This window comes from Homo sapiens, chromosome X (assembly GCF_000001405.40).
Source record: "Homo sapiens chromosome X, GRCh38.p14 Primary Assembly".
Classification (NCBI taxonomy): Eukaryota; Metazoa; Chordata; class Mammalia; order Primates; family Hominidae; genus Homo; species Homo sapiens.
Window position 1 is genome coordinate 86,697,265 of NC_000023.11, and position 20,670 is coordinate 86,717,934.

Consider the following 20,670-nt stretch of genomic DNA (forward strand, 5'->3'; position numbering starts at 1 on the left):
TTTCAGACCCTATTTATGACAGGTTCTCTAGGGAGAAGCAAAAACAAGGAGGAGAGAAACAAGACTAGAGGAAAATGTAGACACTAATGCCACAGGTCGAGCAACCATTTATGATAGCCTAACTCCCAGCCAGATCAGCATAAAACCTATCACCAAAGGCCTATTTACTTCAGTCTCTCCTATTACATCATTTCTGGCTTTAAACGAAAAAAAATGCAAACATAAACAAAATCAAGTAACACAATCTGAAGAGACAGAGCAAACAACAGAACCAAATTCAGACATAGCTGATATTTTAGAATTATCAGACTGAGAACTTAAAAAAACAACTAATATACTAAGAGAATGGAAAAAATGAACATCATGAAGAACACGTGAGATAGCTAATCAGAAAGGTAGAAACCCTAAGAAAAAATCAAAAGAAAATGCTAGGGATAAAAAAAAAAGAACTCCAACAAAATGAAGAGTATCTTATATGAAATCATCAATAGAATACACAGAGCCAAGGAAAGAATCAGTAAGCTTGAAGATGTTTCAACACATACTTCCCAAGCTGAAAAAAGAGAAACGTTGACTGAAATAAAATAACAGAATAGACTAAGAACTGTGTGACAAAGAGAAGAAAAAGATGAAAGAACAGAAGACATATTTGAAATAACAATGACTGAGAGTTTTCCAAAATTAATGAGAAACACCAAACCACAAATTGTTCAGCAAACACTAAGTAGGATAAATACCAAAATCTACAAATACCCATATCATATTCCAACTGCAGAAAACCAATCACAAAAAGAAAATCTGGAAAGAAGACAGAGAAAAAAATTTATTTTCATACAGAAACAAAGATAATAATTACACTGGATTTCTCTTTAGAAACCAGGCAAACAGGAAGAGAGTAGAATGAAATATTTAGAGTGTTGAAAAAGAAAACACCATAAATGTATACCCCTACTATCTAACCACAAGAATTAAAAATATGTATATTTAAAACCCCACAAACCTAGAATTCTGTCTCCAGGAAAATTTCCCTTTAAAAGTGAAGGAGAAATAAAAACTTTCTCAAACAAAAATTGAGGTAATTTGTTACCATACCAGTAGACCTGCATCGCAAGAAACATTGAAACATCTTCAGAAAAAAAGAAAATTGTATACTTTGGAAAGTTTGATTTATGTAACGAAAGGAAGAGCACTAGAGGAGGAATAAATTTAGATAAATTAATTTTTTTAATTTCTTCTTTTTGTTTTGTTAGTTTTGTGTTTTTTTTTTTTTTTTTTTTTTTTTTTACAGGGTCTCACTCTGTCACCCAGGCTGGAGTGTAGTGGTGTGATCATGGCTCACTGCAGCCTTGACCTCCCAGGCTCAGGTGAGCCTCTCAACTAACCCCCTCCATCCCCCAGTAGCTGGGACTACAAGCATGTGCCACCACTCCTAGCTAATCTTTGTATTTTTTAGTAGAAACAGGGTTTTGCCATGCTGCCTAGGCTGGTCTTGAATTCCTGGTCTCAAGAGACCTGCCTGTCTTGGCCTCCCAGAGTGCTGGGAATACAGGCATGAGCCACCGTGCCCAGCCAATTTATAAAAATTCTTAATCTAACACATAATGGTCTGTTCAAACAATAAAAACAACATAAGCAGGAGTAGCAATTCTTATATCAGATAAAACAGACTGTAAAGCAAAAGCAGTGAAGAAAAGACAAAGAAGGTCATTATATTAATATATTGATAAAAGGATACATCCAACAAGAAGATATTACATTCCTAAATATACCTGCACCTAACTCTGAAGCTCCCAGATTCATAAAACAGTTACTACTAGACCTAGGAAAAGAGGTAGACAGCAGCACAATCATAGTGAGCGTCTTCAACACTCCAATGACAGAACTAGACAGAGCATCAAAGCAGAAAGTGAACAAGGACTTAAACTGAACTCTAGAACAAACGGACCTAAAAGTATTTACAGAACATTTTACCCAATAAATGCAGAATTTACATTCTTCTCGTCAGCACATGGCACATTTTCTAAGATAGACCATGGATTAGTCCATTTTCACACTGCTAGTAAAGACATACCCAAGGCTGGGCAATTTACAAAAGAAAGAGATTTACTGGACTTACACTTCCACATGGTTAAAGAGACCTCACAATCATGGTGGAAGGCGAAAGGCTCTTCTTACATGGCGGTGGCAAGAGAGAGAATGAGAACCAAGTGAAGGGGCTTATCCTTATAAAACCATCAGATCTCGTGAGACTTATTCGCCACCATGAGAACAGTATGGGAGAAACCACTCCCATGATTCAATTATCTCCCACTGGGTCCCTCCCAAAACATATGGGAATTATGGGAATACAATTCAATATGCGATTTGGATGGGGAAACAGAGCCAAACCATATCAGCCCATATGATAGGCCAAAAAACATGTACAATTTATTTTATTTCAGTTCAGCTCAGATTTTGATTATTTTTGTCTTCTGACATGTTTGGGGTTGGTTTGCTCATGCTTCTCCAGTTTCTCTAGTTGTGAGATTAGGTTGTTAATTTGAGATCTTCCAAACTATTTTATGTAGGCATATAATGCTATAAACTTCAATACTAACACTGACTTAGCTGTGTCCCAAAGATTTTCATATGTACTATCTTTGGTCTCATTAGTCTCAAATAATTTCTTGATTTCTGCCTTAATTTTATTATTTACCCAAAAGTCATTTGGGAGCAGGTTGTTTAATTTCCATGTAATTATATGATTGAATTTTTTAGTATTGATTTCTGTTTTTACTATCGTGCTGTCCAAGTGTGGCTGGTATAATTTCACTTTTTTCAATTTGCTGAAGATTGTTTTATGTTTGATTATGTGGTCAATTTTAGTATGATTTCTTTTTTTTCTCAATTTTCTGAGATTTTTTTATATTTGATTAGGTGGTCAATTTTAAAGCATGTGCATGTGCAGACGGGAAGAATGTGTATTCTGTTGTCTTTGGTTGGAGAGTTCTGTAAATGTGTATTAGGCCCATTTGGTCAAGTGTGAGTTCAGGTCTTGAATATCTTTGTTAATTTTATGTTTTGATGATTTGTCCAATACTGTCAGTATAATGTTGAAGTCTCTCACTATTATTGTGTATAAATCCAAGTTTCATCATAGTTCTCTAAGAACTTGCTTTATGAATCTGGGTGCTCCTCTGTTGGGTGCATATTTATTTAGGATAGTTAGGTCTTCTTGGTGAATTAAACCCTTTATTATTATGTAATGCTCTTTTTTATCTAACCCCAGTTAAAAAAAAAAAGGAATCCATGATTTTGTTCTTTGAAAAAAATAATAAGATAACATAAACCACTAACTAGACTAACAAAGATACAAAAGAGAGAAAATCCAAATAAACACAATTACAAATGACAAAGGGGACATTACCACTAACCCACAGAAATACAAAAAAAATCCTCAGAGACTTACTATAAATACCTCTGTGCACACAAACTGGAAAATTTAGAAGAAATTGATATATTCCTGAAAATATACAACCACCCAAGACTGAACAAAAAAGAAATGGGATATCTGAACAGACCAATAATGAGTTCCAAAATTGAAGCAGTAATAAAAAGTCTACCAAACAAGAAAAGCCAGGGACTAAATGGATTCACAGCTGAATTATATTAGATGCACAAAGAAGGGCTGGTACCATTTATACAGAAAATGTTCCAAAAAATTGAGGAGGAGGGACCTTTCTAACTTGTTCTGTGAGGTCAGGATCATCCTGATACCAAATCCTTGCAGATGCACACCAAAACCAGTAAAAGGTAAAAAGAAAAGTTCAGGACAATATCCTTGATGAACACAGTTGGAAAAATCTTCAAGAAAATACTAGCAAACCAAATTGAGCAACACGTAGAAAGCTAATCCACCATGATCAAGTATGCTTTATCCCTGGCATCCAAGACTGTTTCAATATATGCAAATAAATACATGTGATTCATCATATAAAGAGAAGTAAAAACAAAAACCACATGGTTATCTCAATAGATGCACAAAAGGCTTTTGGTAAAATTGAAGATCCCTTCATGTTAAAAACCCTCAGTAAACTAGGCATTGAAGGAGCTACCGCAAAATAATAAGAGCCATCTCTGACAAACCCACAGCCAACATCACACTGAACTGGCAAAAGCTGGAAACATTCCCTTTGAAAACCAGCACAAGGCAAGGATGCCTTATCTCACCACTCTTATTCAACATAGTACTGGAAGTCCTGGCCAGAGCAATCAGGCAGGGGGAAGAAATCAAAGGCATCCAAAAAGTAAGAGAGGATGTCAAACTATCCCTAATTGCAGATGACATAATTCTACATCATGAAATTAACCCAAATGCCCGTCAACAGTAGACTAGATAAAGGAAGTGTTGTACATATACACCATGGAATACTACACAGCCATAAAACAGAATTAGATCCTGTTCTCTGCAACAGCATGGATGGAGCTGGAGGCCATTACCCTAAGAAACTAATGCACGAACAGAAAACCAAATACAACTTATTCTCACTCAAAAGTGGGAGCTAAACCATGAACACACATGGATACAAAGAGGAAAACAACAGACACTTGGGCCTACTGGAGGGTGGAGGGTACAAGGAGGGAGATGATCAGAAAAAATACCTATTGGGTACTATGCTTATTACTTGTATGAGGAAATAGTCTATACACCAAACCCACATGACACACAGTTTACCTATATAACAAATCTACACATATACACCTGAACCTAAAATAAAAGTTAAAAAAGTCTCAATAAGTTTTTTAAAAATCAAAATTATATGAAATATCTTATCAGGCCACAGTGGAATAAAACTAGAAATCAACTGCCAAAGGAACCCTCAACGCTATAGAAGAACATGGAAATTAAACAATCTGCTCTTGAAAGATTTTTGGTTTGACAATAAAATCAAGATGGAAATTTTAAAAATATTCAAAATGAATGATAATGGTGACACAAGTTATTAAAACAGCTGGGATATAGAAAGAAAAATAGTGTCAAGAGGAAGGTTTATGGTGCTAGATGCCTACATTGAAAAGTCTGAAAGGTCACAAATTAACAACCTAACATCACACCTCAAGGAACTAGAGCAACTAGCCCAAACCAAGCCCAAAGCTAGCAGGGGAAAAGAAATAACAAGGATTAGAGCAGAACTAAATAAAATTGAAACAAAATCTATGAAAAAGATCAGTTAAAGAAAAAGTTGGTTCTGTGAAAAGATAAACAAAATCTATAGAACATTAGGTAGATTAATCAAGAAAAGAAGAGAGATGATTCAAATAAGCTCAATTAGAAATAAAAATGGAGCTATTACAACCAACACCACAGAAATTCAAAAGATTATTTGAGACTACTATGACCACCTCTATGCACACAAACTAGAAAACCTAGAGGAAATGAATGAATTCCTGGAAACATACAACCCTCCTAGCTTGAATCAGGAAGAACTAGAAATCCTAAACAGACCAATAACAGGCAATGAGATTGAATCACTAATTTAAAAATTGCCAGTCAAACAAAAGCCCAGGGCTAGATGGATTGAAAGCCAAATTCACTGGACCTTCAAAGAAGTGGTACCAATCCTACTGAAACTTTTCCAAAATATTGAGAATGAATCCCCTCCAACTCATTCTATGAAGCCAGTATCACCTTGTTACCCAAGCAAGAAAGGCACATAACCAAAAAAAGATAACTACAGACCAATATCCCTGATGAACCTAAATGAAAAAATCCTCAATAAATTACAAGAAAACCAAATCCAACAACACATCAAAAAGATAATACACCATGATCAAGTGGGTTTCATCCCAGTGATACAGTGATGGGTCAATGTACTCAAGTCCAGAAACGTGATTCACCACCTAAACATCATTTAAAACCTAAAGCATATGATCATCTCAATAAATGCAGAAAAAAATTCAATGAAATCAAGCATTCCTTTATTATAAAAACCCTCAACAAATTAGACATTGAAGAAACATAATTTAAAATTATAAAAGCCATATATGACAAACCAACAGCCAGCATCATACTGGAAGGTCATACACTGGTGGCATTTTCCCCATAAGAACTGGAACGAGAGAAGGTTGCCCATTTTTACCACTCCTATACAACATAGTATTGGAAGTCCTAGCCAGAACAATCAGGCAAGAGAAAGAAAGAAAAGACATACAAATAGGAAAAGAGGACGTTAAAATATCTCTCTTCACTAACAATATGATTGTATACGTAGAAAACCCTATAGACTCTATCAAAGGATTTCAAGACATGTTAAATGACTTCAGTAATGTTTCAGGATACAAAATCAACATACAAAAAAATTGTAGCATTTCTATACACCCATAAGATTCAAGCTGAGAGCCAAATCAAGAATGCAATCCCATTTAGGATAGTCATAAAAATGTAAAATATCTAGGAATACATCTAAACAATGAGTCGAAAGATCTCTACCTAGGAATACATCTAACCAATGAGTCGAAAGATCTCTACAAGGAGAACTACAAAACACTCCTGAAAGAAATAATAGATGACACAAACAAATGGAAAAACATTCCATGCTCATGGATTGGAAGAATCAATATTGTCAAAATGGCCATACCGCCCAAAGCCATCTACAGACTTATTACAATTTCTATCAAACTACCAATGCCATTATTAACAAAAAAACTATCATAAAATTCATATGGAAGAAAAAAATTGGCCTGAATAGCCAAAGCATTCCTAAACAAAATGAACAAAGCTGGAGAGCCATCACATTGCTGGATTTCTAATTATGCTACAAGGATATAGTAACCAAAACCAAAACAGCATGGTACTTATATGAATATAGACATATAGACCAATGAAACAGAATAGAGAACCCAGAAATAAAGCTAATTTTTGACAAAGCATCCAAAAGCATAAATTGGGGGAAAGGGAACCCTATTCAACAAATGGTGCTTGGAAAATTGGATAACCATGTGTAGAAGAATGAAACTAGATCCTTGTCTTTCACCATATACAAAAATAAACTTGAGATGGATTAAAGACTTAAATCTAAGACCTCGATTAATAAAAATTCTAGAAGAAAACATAGAAAAATCTCTTATAAACATTGACCTAAACAAAGAGCTTGTGATTAAGACCGAAAAAGCAAATGTAATAAAAATAAATAAATAAATGGGGCCTAATTAAACCAAAAAAAACCTTCTGCACAGCAAAAGTAATAATCTTCAGAGTAAACAGCCAACTCACAGAATGGCAGAAAATGTTTGCAAACTCTGCATCTAACAAAGGACTAATATCCAGATTCTACAAAGAACTCAAACAAATCAGCAAGGCAAAAACAATACCATCAAAAATGTGGGCAAGTGACATTAGTAGACACTTATCAAAAGAAGATATACAGGAAATGCAAATCAAAATCACAGTGCAATACCACCTTACTCCTGCAAGAATGGCCATAGTCAATAAATCAAAACATAATAGATATTGGTGTGGATGCAGTGAAAAGGGAACACTTCTACACTGCTGGTGGGAATGTAAACTAGTGCAACCAGTATGGAAAACAATGTGGAGATTCCTTAAAGAACTAAAAGTAGAACCACCATTTGATCTAGCAATCCCACTACTGGGTATGTACCCAGAGGAAAAGAAGTCATTATACAAAAAAGATAAATGCACATTTATAGCAGCACAATTCACAATTGCAAAAATATGGAACCAGCCCAAATACTCATCAATCAACAAGTGGATACAGAAATTGTTATATATATATATATATCTCACATATATATATATATATCTCACATATATATGTGAGATATATATAATGGAATACTACTCAGCCATATAAAGGAACAAATTAATTGCATCCACAGCAGCCTAGATGGAACTGGAGATTATTCTTCTAAGTGAAGTAACTCAGGAATGGAAAACCAAACATAGTGTGTTCCCACTCATAAGCGAGAGGTAAGCTATGAGGATGCAAAGGCATAAGAATGATACAGTGGACTTTGGGGACTCCGGAAAATTTGGGAGGTGGGAGAGGGATAAAAGACTATAAAATGGGTTCAGTGCATACTTCTTGGATGATGGGTGCAACAAAATCTCAGAAATTACCAAAAAAGAACTTAATCATGTAACCAAATGCCACCTGTTGTCCAAAAACTCATGGAAACAAGAAATAAGAAAAAAGATATACAAATGACCAAGAGCATATGAGAAAATGCTCAACATCACTAATCAATAGGGAAATGCAAATTAAAACCACAACGAGATGGTACCTTACCCCAGCCAGAATGGATATTATTAAAATTTTTAAAAAATATAGATGCTGGCCTGGGTGTAATGAAAGAGGAATGCTTATACACTGCTGATGGGAATGTAATTTAGTACAGCCTCTATGGAAAACAATATGGAGATTTCTCAAAGAACTAAAAGTAGATCTACCATTCAATCCAGCAATCCCTCTACTGTGTATCTATCCAAAGGAAAAGAAGTCATTATATCAGAAAGACACCTGCGCTTGTATGCTTACCACAGCACAATTCACAATTGCAAACATATGGAATCGACCTAAGTGTTCATCAACTGATGAGTAGATAAAGATAACGTGTTATATGTATACACCATGGAATACTACTCAGCCACAAAAAGAATAAATTAATATCTTTTGCAGTCACTTGGATGGAGCTGAAGGCCATCATTCTAAGTGAAGTAACTCAGGAATGGAAAACCAAGTATTGTATATTCTCACTTAAAAGTGGGATTTAAGCTATGTGTATGAAAAGAAATACAGAGTGGTATAATGGACATTGTAGAATCAGAAGGGAGGAGTGTGGCGGGGTGGGTGAGGGACAAAAAAACTACATTATGGGTACAGTGTACACTTCTCAGGTGACAGGTGCACTAAAATCTGAGATTTCACACTATACAATTCATCCATGTAACCAAAAGTTACTTGTACTCTCGAAGCTATTAAAATACGAAAAATAACAAGAAAAAGTAATTTTAAAAAGAATGTATTGGATGATTATACCTTGTGGATAAGTGAAATAAATGAGAGCAATGTTATAAAGGACTGAAAGGAGGAATTGAGAATTGAGAATACTCTGTTATAAGGTATTTTTAGTACCCTTAAAGTAGTATAGTGGTATTTGTAAATGGAATAAGACTAATTGTAAATATATATTGAAAGCTGTAAGGCAAACACTAAAAAACATTAAGAGTTTTAATAGTTTAATTTTTAAAATATTAAAAATTTTAATTAAAATTTTAAATTCTTCTTAAATTCATGTGGAACATTCACCAAGATAGGACACATTCTGGGCCATAAAATACACTTTAACACATTTAAAAGAATAGAAATCAGACAAAGTATGCTCTCAGTCATAATGGAATTAAACGAGAAGCCAATAACAGAAAGACAGCTGTAAAGTCAAAAAATACTTGGAGATTAAACAGTACACTTATAAATACCACACAAGTCAAAAAAGAACCCCCAAGAAAAATTCAAAAGTATTTTAAAGTAAATGACAATAAAAATATAATTTATCAAATTTCATAGGATGTAACAAAAGCAGTGCTTAGAGGGAAATATATAGCATTGAATTAATTAATATATTAAAAAGGATAAAGAGATAAAATCAGTAACCAAAGCTTCCACCTTAGGAAAATAAAAAGATAAAAAATTAAATCTAAAGCAGAAGAAAATATATAATAATTATTAGTATAGAAATGAATGAAATTGGAAACAGAAAATCAACAGAGAAAATCAATGAAACCAAAAGCTGGTTCATTGACAAGACAAATGAAATTCATAAACCCCTAGGCAGGCTAACTAAGAAAAAGAGAGAAGATGCAAATTACTATCATCAGAAAATAGAAGCCATCACTATTTATCCTATGACATTAAAATGATAATATAGCAATACTCAACAACTCTATACCCACAAATTTGATAACTTGGATGAAATTACTCAATTTTTTGAAAGATACAATCTACCAATACTCACACAAGAAGAAACAGATAATCTGAAAAGGCCTATACATATTACAGAAATAAAATCTATAATTAAAACCCTTCCACAACAGAAAGCACCATGTTCAAATGGGTTCACAGGTAAAGTCTACCAAACATTTAAAGAAGAAAATATACCAATTCTCTGCAATCTCTTCCAGAAGATAGAAGCAGAGGGAATACTTTCTAACTCATTCTATGAGATCAGAATTACCTAAATACCAAAATACCAGAGAAAGATAACATAGGAAAGGGAAACTACAGATCAGTATCTCTGATGAACATAATGCAAAAATCCTGAAAACAGAATAGTACATTAAAGTTAACAATGTTTAGGAAAAATTACACACCGCCCAGGCGCGGTGGCCCACGCCTGTAATCCCAGCATTTTGAGAGGCTGAGGCCGGTGGATCACGAGGTGAAGAGATCGAGACCATCCTGGCCAACATGCTGAAACCCCGTCTCTACTAAAAGTACAAAAATTAGCTGTGTGTGGTGGCGTGCGCCTGTAGTCTCAGCTACTTGGGAGGCTGAAGCAGGAGAATCGCTTGAACCAGGGAGGTGGAGGTTGCAGTGAGCCGAGATCACACCACTGTATTCCAGCCTGGTGACAGAGTAAGACTCCATCTAAAAAAAAAAAAAAAAAATTACACACCATGACCAAGTGGAATTTATTCCAAGTATGCAACGGTAGCTCAACATTGGAAAATCAATTGATGTAATCTATTACATCAGTAGGCTAGAGAATAAAAATAATATGATACTAAAAGTAGATGCAGAAAAAGTTTTTGAGAAAATACAATACCCATTCATAATAAAAACTCTTAGAAAAAAATAGGAAAAGAGGGGGACTGCCTCAACTTGTTAAAGAACATCTATAAAAACCTACTGCTGACATCTTACTCAATGGTGAAAAACTAGATGCTTTTCCCCTAAGATCGAAAACAAGGGAAGGACGTTACCTCTTATCACTTCTATTCATCGTTATACTGGAGGCCTTAGTTGGTAAAAAATGACAAGAAAAATGAAATAAAATTTATACCAATTAGGGAAGAAAAAACTGTATTGGTTCAAAGATGACTGATTATCTTTGTAAAATTTCAAAAGATTTTACAAAAAATTCTCATAGAACTAATAAGAGATTATAGTAAGGTTGCAGGATACAAAATTAATGTACAAAATCAACTGCTTTCTTGTATACCAACAATGAACAGTTGCAATTTGAAATTAAAAATTCATCTTAAGTGAAACAACTCTGAAACAGAAAGTCAAAAACTTATAAGTGGGAACTAAATCATATGTACACATGGACATAGTGTAGAATAATAGACATTGGAGATTTGGAAGGGTGGGAGGGTGGGAAGGGAGTGGGGGAGGAGGAAGTACTTAATGGGTACAGAGCACATTGTTTGGGTGATGATTACACTAAAAACCTAGATTTCACCACTACACAATATATCCATGTAACAAAACTGCACTTCTACCTCTTAAATTTGTACAAATAAAAACACAAAATTGTTTAAATTAGCAACAATAATTGAAATACTCAGGAGTAAACATAGCAAAATATATATAAGATGATTAGAAGGACTACTGCAGAACTCTGATGAAAAAATCCAGGAATATATAAATAAATGGAGAGATATCTTACGTTCATGGATAGGAAGACTCAATATGATTAGAACAGCAATTCTTCCCACTTGATCTATAGATTCAATATATTCCCCATCAAAATCCAAGGAAGTTGTTTTGTGGATACTCACATAGTGATTCCAACATTTATATGGAAAGTAAAAGACCCACAATAGCCAGCAAAGTATTGAACAAGAAAAAATGTAGTGGACTGACACTACCATACTTCATTATTTACTGTAAAGTTATAGTAATCATGGTAGTGTGATTTTGGCAAAAGAACTGACAAGTAGATTAGTATTAATAGAACAGAATAGAGAGCCTAGAAATAGATCCACACAAATGTAGTCAATTGGTATTTGATGGAAGAGCAAAGACAATTCAATAGAAAGATCATAGCATTTTTCTACAAATTACAGTGGAACAATTGGGATATCACATGCAAAGAATGAACCTAGACACAGACCATCTGCCCTTCACAAAAATTAACTCAAAAGGATCATAGTCCTAAATGTAAATTGCAAAACTCTGAATCTATTAGAAGATAACATCAGAGAAAAGCTAGGTGATCTTGGGTTTGACAATGTGGTTTTAGATACAATATCAAAAGCATAAACCTTAAAATAAACTAATAAGTTGGATTTCATTAAACTTAAAAACCGTTCATGACACACACTGTTAAGAGAATGAAAAAACAAACAACAGAGTAGGAAAAAGTCTTTGCACAACTCATATATGATAAAGGACCAATAGATATACAAAGAACTTTTAATCTCAACAATAAGAAATAAGCAACCAAATTAAAAAGTGGACAAAAGTCGTAAACAGACATCTCATTAATTAAGGCATAGTTGGATAATAAGCATATGAAAACATGTTGAATATAATATGTCACTAGGGAATTGCAAATTAAAACAACTAGGAGATACCCATACACACCTGTTGAAATAACTAAAATCCAAAATTGTCAACTTCAATTGTTCACAAAGATTTGGAACAACAGGAACTTTCAGTTTGGTTTTAATGGAAATGCAAAATACTATAGTGACTTTGGAAGACATTTTGGGCATTTTTTTAACTAAAGTAAACATAGTCCTGTATTTATACAAATCAATGGAGAACTTAAGTTCACACAAAAACCTATACACCAAAGTTTATAGTAACTTTGTTCATAATTACTAAAAATTAGAAACAACCAAGATATCCTTTAATAGATGAATGCATAAAACAACTGTGGTATATATGTACTATGGAAACATATTTAGCAATAAATACAAATGAGCTATCAAACCTTGAAAAGACTTGGGTGAACCTTAAGCGGAAATTGCTAAGTGAAACAAATCAGTCTGAAAAGGCTAAATAGTGTGTGATTCTAACTAGGTAGCATTCAGGTAAAGGCAAATCTATACAGCCTAAAAAGACCAGTGGTTGCCAGAGGATGGGGAGAGGGATAAAACAAGTGACCTCTGCTGTAAACTGTGGACTGTGGTTAATACATCAATATTGATTTTTCAAATGTAGATATATAACAGATTATTACAAGATAGTAATATGAGGGCCAACTGTGTGATGGCAGAGTGGAGATATAAGGAAATTCTCTGTAACTTCTGCTAATGTGTTTTATTAATCTAAGACTGCTCTAAAACTAGTCTATTTATTTTTTTAAAGGAAGGGGTATTTATATAGGCAAATCAATTGGGTTAGGAAGGCAGATTCCAGAGAGAAGCATTAACATGAGTGAAGGCTAACGTGAATTCAAACTGTAGATGTAAATAGTCCAGTGGGGCTAGAGTACAGCATACAGAGAGGAATATAATGAAACATTACAACCAGAAAGGTAATTTTGGATGAAATAAAAATGCTTGTATTTTATTCTGGTAGCAGTAAGTAGTCACTGGAAGTCTTAAAAAGGGAGTGGAAAAGCAAATGAAAAGCCACAGTAAGACAGATTGGGAAGATAGGGTACTTGTATCAAGGGATTAATGCCTGGTAGTCACTGTAGAAATGACAAAATATTACAGAAGTCAACGTGACTTAGAAATCAAATCAATGTGGGATTTAGATAGAGGATTACTAAAGTTTGTACCTTTCATGGCTAGAAGGAGGTGGTGCTATGCACTTACATAAAAATTATAGGAGTTGCTGAAATACCAAGATGCATTAGAAATTATTCTTACAGGCCCAGCTCTGTGGCTCACGCCTGTAATCCCAGGACTTTGGGAGACCGAGGCAGGCAGATCACTTGAGGTCAGGAGTTCGAGACCAGCTTGGCCAACATGGTGAAACTCCATCTGTACTAAAAATAAAAAAAATTAGCTGGGCATGGTGGCACATGCCTGTAATGCCAGCTACTCGGGAGGGTGAGGCAGGAGAATCGCTTGAGCCCGGGAGGCGGAGGTTGCGTGAGCCGAGATCTCTCCACTGCACTTCAGCCTGGATGACAGAGTGAGACTCCGTCTCATTAAAAAAATAAATAAATAAAAAATAAAAAAGTAAATTAAATTAAAAAAAGAATTATTCTTTTAGTAACTTGCATAATGTCCGCGAAGTCAATAGGAAAAGAGATAACCCATTTTGGTGATTTTTAAAAAAGATTTGTCTTTATTACCATGCTATTAAAAGGCTACCTGTATATCTAGCATGTGACTAAGTGAGCCAGGTTGCGGGTGTGGTGTGTACTACTGATGGTTTTTAATTTTATGTGTTCAGTTTCAGAAAACGTTTGACTTTCATAATTCAGTATTTGCGTATGCTTTGCATGGAGAACTCATGTGTGGTCACTGTTAAACTGGCCTGTTATGTAAGTACTAGCTTGGGGTAAAGTCTAGGGCATTACGGTCAATTGACAGCTATTGCAGGTCATGATTTCAAAGTATGAGTTTTAAGCCTTTCATGGTCATTTGAAATGTTTGATGAATTAGATTTTAAAACTGCCAATGGGCTGTTAAATTCTTTTTGTAGTTTGCATTTAGTTTGCATGTCAATTGGACTTTAAGTAGGCATATTTCTTATTATCGCCAGATGGTGTCTAGGTGATGCTGAAAATCTTTGGAGAATGAGGAAAGATTATTACACTGTTAAGGGAACTGTAAATTGAACAAAAGCTTATTTAAGCATTTGAATAGTAAATAGGAGCACTGATGGCTACTTTTCATCTAAGTTTGATCAATTTGTGACTGAAGCAGTGTAAACAAAGAAGGACTGAAGTGTATAATTACCTTGGGCTTGTGGTAAATGATAGCCTTATATAGAAACCTACTTAGGTCATTGATTGTCGTTATTATATTGAGCATAATGTGAAGGTTTCAGGAGAAAGATAAACAGTGATTAGTTTAATATATATTATAAAATATCATTATAGCATAAGCTATATGATAATTTCAGTATAAAAGTGCATATGTACCTAAGTAATTTTAGAAGGCTAACTGAAAATATGCTTCTAGTTTTAAAGGAAGTGAGTTCCACATACAAATGAGATTGTACAGCATTTGTCTTTCTGTGCCTGGCTTATTTTGCTTAGCATAATGTTCTCCAGAATGACAAGTGTTTGAGGTAATGGATATATTAATTAGCTTTATTTAATTATCCCACGTTGTGTGTATATATATATGTGTGTATATATGTGTGTGTACACATATATAATATATAATGGGATCATTTTGTATTCCATAAGTATATACAATTGTAATTTGTCAATTTACAATAAAAATTGTAACTATTAAAAGTAAAAATAACCAAAAGTGAGTGGAAAAGGCCATTTTGAATTCAATGTTGTAAGAGTTGTTTTGAGGCCTCATTGATAAATTAATAATTGCAAGAAAAATGTTTCAGAGCTCATAAGTTTAGTTTGGAAAGTTGTTCCTAAAAAGGATTTACAGATAGTGAGCCATAAGTGAACACGGATAGGAGAAAAGTTTAAAATATTTTCTGACTCCAGGATATGGAGTCAGATAGGGAGTACAGAGAATGTTTCCTTTCCTGAGTTCCACGCAGAATTTAAGTTTCTAGGTTAGGTTTTATCCTTATGTAATTCTGATAACACTGCATTTTGTGACTATCTTTATCAGAAACACTGGTGGATAATGTTTTCTTTATTTAGGAATTCCTTTCATTGTGATAATCACTTGAGTGTTGTATGAGACCTTACCTACCTGGAAATGTAATCCATTGATTGTGCTGCCTTTGTACTTTCTTGTTAACAGTTTTAGATCAACCATTATAATTGAAATCAGGAGACGGACCTCAAATAAATTAACACTGCTTCTTCCTTCTAGCTCCCATTAAAATTGGACTTTATTAAAATTAAAAACTACTCTGTGAAACACATTAAGAAAATGAAAAGAAGCCATAGAATGCGAGAAAATCTTTGTCCTAAAAATATATGTGTTTTGAGTGTTTGTATTACTGCCACTTTGTTTTGAGGAATGAGATTTAGGGAGCTTTTTAATATACTTCCTATAGATTCACTGATGTTCTTTTTCTGTTGTGATAAGGGAAACAAGGAAAAGTGAAGCGATTACCAAGAGTAAAAAAGGACGTTATTAATACTTAATACTTGTGCGCAGAATCAACATAAATGCTGTCCACCATAGAATTTCTGTAGTCTGTGATAATTTAGAAAAATTATAAGCAGGGATATTTTAGAATATCTATTAAAGACTACTGATTTCTGGGCTTCTGTCCAAAATTAGGCAAGATTACTGTAGAGGTAATTGTTTGTAATAAGTGCTACGGTTTGCTCACAGTCACGTTCACATCCATGAAGCTAGACTAAATTTTAGTAGACTCTGCTCAAACTCCTTTCCTCCTACAAATTTCAGCCTATTAAGGGATAAGTAGACAACGATTTTAATGTTACCTTTTACATGATGGCAAACCTGTGGCTGCCAGAAGTTGAATGTGGATAATAATTGAGATATATTCTTTCAGATATTTCAAATGTGTGAAAATTATTTCAACTTGCATAAGAAAAAAATGAAATTCCTGAAATGACCTAACAATATTTGTTATTAAGTATTTCTTATTAAACTAGAAAATACGTTGATATTTTGATAGGGGAGTTATTATTTATTGACAAAGACTTTAAATTAAAGCTATTAATATAAGCATTCATTTTAGAGATTTATATCTAAAAGGGTATAACATACTCCAAGTCTTGTTTTCTTCTACAGTTCTGAAGCTTAGAGAATCTACATCCTGCCTTATCAGCACCTCTATTAAGTGTCTTAAAGAAATTGTAAAGCTGTCAACTATCAACACATCAATGCATTATTGTTATGATGTTACAAAATGGTTATAATGATTAAGAAGAAAGTTCTTAGTTTTGAAATGCAATGATGTTTGGCTTAAAGATTTGTGTTTGTTTTATGGGTAAAAATTTTGCATCTTATAAATATTTGGGAAGTGAAAGCAAAAACAAAGCATATTTATAATTAAATGTGTGGATACAGGAAGATTTTTAAAATGATTAAACAATATAAAATAACACAGGTACTATTAATGGCACAAGGAGACACTAAGATATAATAAAAATTGTTTTTATAAGAAAACTAAGAATGAATTTAGGTACTTTTTAACAAACTATTTCAGATAATCATAATGTAACAAGTTTAATATGCACTGTCTCTTTTAGGACTGGATCTGCCATTTATGATGATGCCTCATCCCCTACTTCCAGTCAGCTTACCTCCTGCATCAGTTGCCATGGCAATGAATCAGATGAACCATCTCAATACTATTGCCAACATGGCTGCTGCAGCACAGATTCACAGTCCACTCTCCAGAGCTGGTACCTCTGTTATAAAGGTAAGAATCGTGATTTAGAAAAGGACAAAGGTGTCAATTTCATGCAAATTTTGATAAAATATTTACAATCCCACTGGATCTTCAGTAGTAACTCAGCTCATTGACTCAGTTAGTTAGCATACAGTATTGATGGGTTTAGTTTGTGACTAGGCCTGCCAGGTTTGTTGTTGTTTGTTTGTTTTCATTCTATGACCACAGATCTCACTTTTAATTCTATTTCCTGTCTTGCAATCATGTGCACAGTGTGGGGGAGGCATGGGCAGACTAATGACAGAGTAGAAGAGTGTGCAAAAACCATTCCCATAGCTGGGGTGAAACAAAGTAAACACTGTGCATCTTTTTGGAGTTTGAGAGACAGTTATGAGGTATGATATAACATACAGGACTTATAGTCAGACAGATTTGGGTTCCAATTCTGATTTGCAACTTAGCTGAATGAACTTGGGTATGACAGCCCTCCTGAACATGTTTCCTCAACTATAAAATGAAGGTCATAGTTAATAATCTATGCTGCTTATTTCATGGGCTGTCTGGAGATAATATGAGTAAAATATATGTAAAAACCTGTAAAACATTAACAATATTTATGATAATATATTGCATTAACATTATAATGTTAGAATACTATTTTTCAAGTTTATGGGCATTGGATAATGAAACACAAAGGATATTTCGTAGCTACCCCTTCTTTTTCCTCTTAGTTTGGCATATGGCTTTTCTGCTCTCTTTCCAATTATCATATGAACTAGGGTTTTGAATGCTTTTTCTTCTTGTGAGGAGGTGATATATGGGTACATAGGATCCCAAGATTTTAGTCAGAAACCCATTGATTTCCTCCTTTATTCCTTCACTTACTCAACAAATATTATACCCTTAATAATTACATGCCAGGTTATTGAGCAATATGGGAAATTTATAAGTAAGATATACACCTTGACTTCCAGGAGCTCCCAAACATAAATGTGAGACAAACAAGTACCCACTTAATTTGTACTAACAAGACAGACTATGATGGATAACATAGGAGAACCACCAAGTATTACAGGAATTTAGAGGAAGGAGTGATTTTATCTACCTTTAAGAAGAGAGGAGGCAGGGATCTGGGAAGGCATTATAGTTGATGGATTTCAACTGAGCCTTGCAATATTGATATGATTGTAATAGATAGGCATGGAAGTGAAAGAACTGAAGGCAGAGGAAATGTGACATTTTGGACATATTTGTTTCATTTTAAAATCAGCTTGTAATTTTGGAGCCTTCTAAAGCACTGAAGAAAATTTAAAGCATAACCTTTGTAAGAAAGGAACAGAAAAATTGATCATTTTTATAAAGCTTCATCTATATATTTAAAACACCAAGTGGAAGCATGCTTCCTGGAAAGACTGGTTACAGACTTCACCGCTACACAAATTCCCTGGCAACAAAACTGCACTTGTATCCCTGAATCAATAAAAAAAATTAAAGGGTAAAAATAAAGCCTGTGGTTGATAATGGATTAGTCTATCCTAACTAATGAGAGCTCTGTTATTAAAATATTTGATGGGAGTGTAAACTTGGAGTTAGAGTTGTCTTTGAGAAGAAAATTACCCATGAAATGTGGGATAAATTTCCCATTATTTTGAAACTGGATGGCTATTAAGAAAATATGACAACACAAACAAATTGTGAAATTATATTAAAAAGCAAACCTGGGAGCAGTGGCAGTGACATGTGCCTGTAGTCCCAGCTGCTTAGGCGCCTAAGGAGAGGAAGATCACTTGAAACCAGGGGTTCAAGATCAGCCTGAGCAACATTGTGAGACTCCTTCTCTAAAACAAACAGACAAACAAAAGCACTTCAAAGTAATGGTATTGTTATACTGGCTTTGGAATGATGGAAGAGTACTCTTAATAGAGGCATGCATATGACTCTTAAAAGTACATTGGTTTGTTTTCATAAATACCATATTTAATTAGCTATATTTTGTTTGAATGTTTGAGACTTCAGTTAGCTTTGTGAATAATTTGAGTCAAGAGGCACATGGAAATGTGGTTCATAATTGTGGTCCTGGAAATGGAAAAGATAATTATCTTCTTAATCCAAATATTGTTTTATTTTTTACCCATTATGACAATATAACTGAAATTTTGTTTAGGGCTTATTAGTCTATTTCATATGCAACCTTTTAAAAAAGAAACTTGGAATTGTCACAAACAATTTTATACAACTTTTTAAAAGGCGAAATTAGATCACATGCTTATTTATGTCCTGCCAAATACACAAATACACAGAAACCATTTTATGCTAAAGAGAAATGGATCTACTTTCATGTGGTTATTTTGACTAAAGTAAGTTAAGAGAGATATATTTAATTAAAACACTCTGATAAAAATTTCTATTTCTCTACAAATCTATCAGAAATATATTTTGTCATATGCATAGATTGCATGGTGGTGGAAAAAGGGCTTTTTGGGTATCCATTATCCAAATAATGTACATTGTACCCAGTGAGTAATCTCTCATCATGCACCCTATTCCATCCCCTCACCTTTCCATTGTTTATCATTCCACACTTTACACTCCTGTGTACACATTATTTAGTTCCCACTTATAAGTGAGAACATATGGTATTTGTCTTTCTGTGCCTGACTTGTTATGCTTAAGATAATGGCCTCCATTTTCATCCATATTGCTGCAAAAGACAGATTTCATTCTTTCTTATGGCTAAATAGTATTCCATTTACATATATAGATATATAGTATTCATATACACATGTATGTATATGTAGATAGATAGATAGGAACTTGATAATGAGTTAGTCTATCCTAACTAATGAGAGGTCTGTTATTAAAATATTTGACTGGAGTGTAAACTTGGACATAGAATTGTCTTTGAGAAGAAAATTACCCATGAAATGTAGGATAAATTTCCCATGATTTTGAAACTGGATGGCTATTAAGAAAATATGACAACACAAACAAATGATGAAATTATATTAAAAAGCAAACCTGGGAGCAGTGGCGGTGACATGTGCCTTATTATATATAATATATATATATATATACATATATATGAATACTATTTGGAATATATATATATAATGGAATACTATGATCCTAAAAAAGTGCAAGATATATATTTTTATATATATTCATATATATGCATATGTATATATATATCTTGCAGTTTTTCTTTATCATATCATCTGTTGATGGACACATAGGTTGATCGTAT

General features: G+C 33.8%; 1 protein-coding gene across 8 annotated transcripts in view; it reads left to right on the forward strand.

The window, feature by feature from the left end:
• DACH2 (dachshund family transcription factor 2) overlaps positions 1-20,670 on the forward strand; it is a 684,152-nt gene that overhangs the window by 548,814 nt on the left and 114,668 nt on the right. For all 8 annotated transcript variants that reach the window (XM_011530846.3, NM_053281.3, XM_017029254.2 and 5 more), the window contains one exon: positions 17,284-17,456. In XM_011530846.3, the coding sequence (XP_011529148.1) occupies positions 17,284-17,456 (173 nt within the window). The remainder of the gene's footprint in view (positions 1-17,283; positions 17,457-20,670) is intronic.